Here is a 4,378-nt window from a genome sequence, read left to right as displayed (position 1 = left end):
AGTGCAGTGGCGTGATCTCGGCTCACTGCGACCTCCGCCTCCCAGGTTCAAGTGATCCTCCTGCCTCAGCCTCCTGAGTAGCTGGGATTACAGGCACGCACCACCACATCTGGCTAATTTTTATATTTTTAGTAGAGACAGGGTTTCACCGTGTTGGCCAGGCTCGTCTCGAACTCCTGACCTCAGGTGATCTGCCCCACCTTGGCCTCCCAAAGTGCTGGGATTTACAGGCGTGAGCCACCGACCCTGGCCTGGCGCCTTCTTTTAAATAAGTTTTTTTTTTTTTTTTGAGATGAAGTCTTGCTCTGTCGCCCAAGCTGGAATACAGTGGTGTGATCTCGTAACCTCTGCCTCCCGGGTTCAAGCAATTCTCTGTCTCAGCCTCCTGAGTAGCTGGGATTACAGGTGTCCGCCACCATGCCCGGCTAATTTTTGTATTTTTAGTAGAGATGGGGTTTTGCCATCTTGGCCAGGCTTGTCTTGAACCCCTAACCTCGTGATCCACCCGCCTCGGCCTCCCAAAGTGCTGGGATTACAGGCATGAGCCACCGCGTCTGGCCCTTTTAAATAGTTTTATACTGCATACTATATTCAGTCTTTAGTGGTAGATGAATTCTTACTCTGTTGTTGCGTGCCCTGGAGAGCATAGTTCCTTGGAGACACCAAAGGAAGATTTTTCCAGGAAGGTCTTTTGGGAAGGGGCCTCCTCCAAGAAGGGAGTGAGGAAGGAGGTAGATTGAGTCAATGCACTTTTCCTCTATCTGGTCAGAGTTCTTGAAGGTATTTTTCTTCTGAACTTGGGTGGGGTTTGCAGTGGGGTAGGGGAAAAGAGAAATGATTCTGACACATACAAGAAAATGCTCCTTTGTGGGGCACGGGGGCAGGAGTTGCTTCCAAAAGGACCCAACAAAGACCTGTAGGGAACGTTTAAATTTATCTGTGTGTGGCCGGGCATGGTGGCTCATGCCTGTAATCCCAGCACTTTGGGAGGCCAAAGTAGGTGGATCACCTGAGGTCGGGATTTTGAGAGCAACCTGGACAACATGGTGAAACATGGTGAAACCCCGTCTCTACTAAAAATACAAAGTTAGCCCGGCATGGTGGCGCGTACCTGTAATCCCAGCTATTCGGCAGGCTGTGGAAGAAGAATCTCTTGAACCTGGGAGGCGGAGACTGCAGTGAGCCAAAATTGCGCCATTGCACTTCAGCCTGGATGACAAGAGCGCAACTCTGTCTCAAAAAATAAATAAATAAATATCTGTGTGAACTAGCACTTGAGAGACTGCAGCCTCAGGCAGTTTTCAGCCCTGTGCACACAATGAAATTACCTAAGGGGCTTAAAAAAAAATACGGAAGCCTGGGTCCCACCCCAGAGGCTCTGAGGGAAGTAACCTGCAGTGCAGTTTTTAACCATCCACAGGTGTTCGTCATGCAGCGCCAAGGTTGGGTAATGAAGAGCTGACATTGATTGAAGCTTACTCTGTGCCAAGCTCCATTCTACAAGTTTTACTTCACAATAACCTTACAAGACAGGTCTACTGTTATCCTTCATAGAGGGCCATTGAGGCACAAAGAGGTTAAGTGCTGGCCAAGGACACCCAGTTCATAAGGGGTATTCTCTCCACTTGAACTTCAGAGCCCATGCCCCTTACCACAGTGCTGTGCCAGCAAGGGTTGCATGCCAGGCCCTGCCATGATCCTGCCCCAGTTTCCCCTGGGGAAGAGAAATGAGCCAAAACCTAAAGGGCAGGAGTAGCTGGCCATGGTGGCTCATGCCTGTAACCCCAGCACTGTGAGAGACCGAGGCAGGAATATCACTTGAGCCCAGGAGTTCAAGACCAGCCTGGGCAACATAGCAAGACTCTATCTCTACAAAATAACTGTTTTTAATTAGCCAGGTGTGGCAGAGTGCGCCTGTAGTCCTAGCTACTCAGGAGGCTGAGGTGGGAGGATCGCTTGAGCCCAGGAGGTCAAGGGTGCAGTGAGCCGTGGCTTTGTCACGGCATTCCAGCCTGGACAACAGAGCGAAAACTTGTTTAAAAAAAAATAGAAATAAAAGCAGGAACATCTCCTTCTCTACTAAACCGGTCCAGGCACCAAGGACATTGCTGATGAGCACAAAAGGGAACACAGGAGTCTGTTTTAAGCTCCTGATGCCAGTGCCTCCATGGAGCAGCCCAGATATGACCACCATACCCTGAGTGAACTGCCTCCCAGAGATGTCTGGGTGACCCTAGATCCCCTGGCTCCTCTTCAGCCCCTCCTGATTCTCATCAGTGTTTGTTGCCTCCCAATCCAAAGAGTGCATGGAATTCATGACATGCATCTTCTTACATGGGCCTGCAGGGTAGGAGACATCAACACTGCCCCAGCAAATCGAATATGCAAGCTAGAGCCTGTGATCCGACAGAGAACTGAAGCAGTTGTTTTTCCCAGTCTCCTGGGGAATGTGAGATTCGTTCAGTGTCATCCTCACCCCAGCTGAGGATTCCTGGGGAGCCAGAAGGAAGCTGGGAATATAAAATGGCGGCGGCCCACCCACACCCCAGCCAATGTGAAAATAAGTCCTGAGAGAAAAAGGGAAGCTGGGTGCTGTGGCTCATGCCTGTAATCCCAGCACTTTGGGAGGCCAAGGCAGGAGGATCACTTGAGCTCAGGAGTTCGAGACCAGCCTGGGCAATGCAGTGAGACCTCATCTCTACAGAAAATTAGAAAATTAGCTGGGCATGGTGGTATGTGCCTGTAGTACCAGCTACTTGGGAGGGTGAGGTGGGAGGATCCCCTGAGCCCTGGAGGTCAGGGCTGCAGTGAGCCCTGATCATGCCACCATACTCCAGCACTCCAGAGTGAGACCCTGTCTCAATAAATAAATAAAGCAATAAAATGGAAAGCATAGAAGGCAAGAGAAAAAGAAAAAAAACAGAACAAGATTATAGCTTAAAGTCCCCCAGTGTCAGATCAAGAGTTTAAAAATGAGCAGTCAGGTCGGTTGTGGTGGCTTATGCCTATAATCCCAACACTTTGGGAGGCCAAGACGAGCAGATCACCTGAGGTCAGGAGTTCGAGACCAGCCTGACCAACATGGAGAAACCCCGTCTCTACTAAAAATACAAAATTAGGCCAGGCACGGTGGCTCACACCTGTAATCCCAGCACTTTGGGAGTCTGAGGTGGGCAGATCACGAGGTCAGGAGTTCAAGACCAGTCTGGCCAACATAGTGAAACCCCATCTCTACTAAAAATACAAAAAAGAAAAAGAAAAATTAGCCAGGCATGGTGGCGTGTGCCTGTAATCCCAGCTACTCAGGAGGCTGAGGCAGGAGAATCGCTTGAACCTATGAGGTGGAGATTGCAGTGAACCGAGAGTGCGCCACTGCACTCCAGCCTGGGCAACAAGAGCGAAACTCCGTCTCAAAAAAAAAAAAAAAAAAAAAAAAAAAAGAGTAATAAAGGGAGAAGCACAATGAACCAAGGGTTTACAAATGTTGAAAAGATTAAAACTGAGATCAAACATCTGTGATAAAAAGTTATGCATAACCAGCCTGGCCAACATGGTGAAACCCCGTCTCTACTAAAAATACAAACATTAGCTATGCTGGAGGCGCGCACCTGTAATCCTAGGTACTGGGGAGGCTGAGGCAGGAGATCGCTTGAACCTGGGAGGCACAGGTTGCAGTGAGCCGAGATCACACCACTGCACTCCAGCCTGGGAGAGCGAGACTCCGTCTCAAAAAAAAAAAAAAAAAAAAAAGTTACGCATTAAAAGGTCATCAGTGAGGAGGTTAAATAGGATAGAGAGTTAAAAAAAAAATCCCGCTAGCAGCAGCTGGGGAGAGACTCTTGAAAAAGGGTTTTTAGGACATGCCAAGCTTCTAGCAAGTCCTAAAATAGGCAGGAAAGCTGCAGGCACTGTCAGCATCTGCAGGCTCCAACACTGAACCTTCACGCAGGGTCCTCTGGGCTGGGGCCTTCACTTCCATCTCAGGAGCCCTGGGGCAGAGTTCTCTGGAAGGCTGCTTCTTTAAGTGGGGCCCTGGAACCAGCTTCATCCCAACACAGGAGCTTGTGAGGCGTGTAGATTCTCCGGCCCCATCCCAGGCCACTGACTCAGCAACTGCATTTTAACAAGATCCCCAGGGGATACATTGTACATGAAAGTTTGAGAAGTGCTGCTTCAGAAAAAATACCACATCTCCTTCCTTTATTTTTAATTTATGAAGTATTATAAATAGCCAAAGAAATAATGAGAACATTATGGCAAATGCTTAGGAACCTACAACACAGATACAGCAAAAGTTAGCATTTTGATAAATTTGCTTCAGATCTATTTTCTTCTCTCCTTCCTTTAGAGGCAGAGTCTCACTCTGTCACCCAGGCTG

General features: G+C 48.7%; 1 annotated feature.

The window, feature by feature from the left end:
- Positions 235-454: a silencer, noted in NCBI's record as "fragment chr20:5025885-5026104 (GRCh37/hg19 assembly coordinates)". NCBI's record gives its function as "represses an EF-1alpha promoter that drives an FKBP-Casp9 reporter gene in an ReSE screen in HepG2 liver carcinoma cells {active_cell/tissue: HepG2}" and the evidence as "EXISTENCE:reporter gene assay evidence [ECO:0000049][PMID:32094911]".

The sequence above is a fragment of the Homo sapiens genome, chromosome 20 (assembly GCF_000001405.40).
Source record: "Homo sapiens chromosome 20, GRCh38.p14 Primary Assembly".
In the NCBI taxonomy this organism is placed as follows: Eukaryota; Metazoa; Chordata; class Mammalia; order Primates; family Hominidae; genus Homo; species Homo sapiens.
The sequence above is the reverse complement of the archived record's forward strand: the minus strand, read 5'-3'. Positions and strand labels throughout refer to the sequence as shown.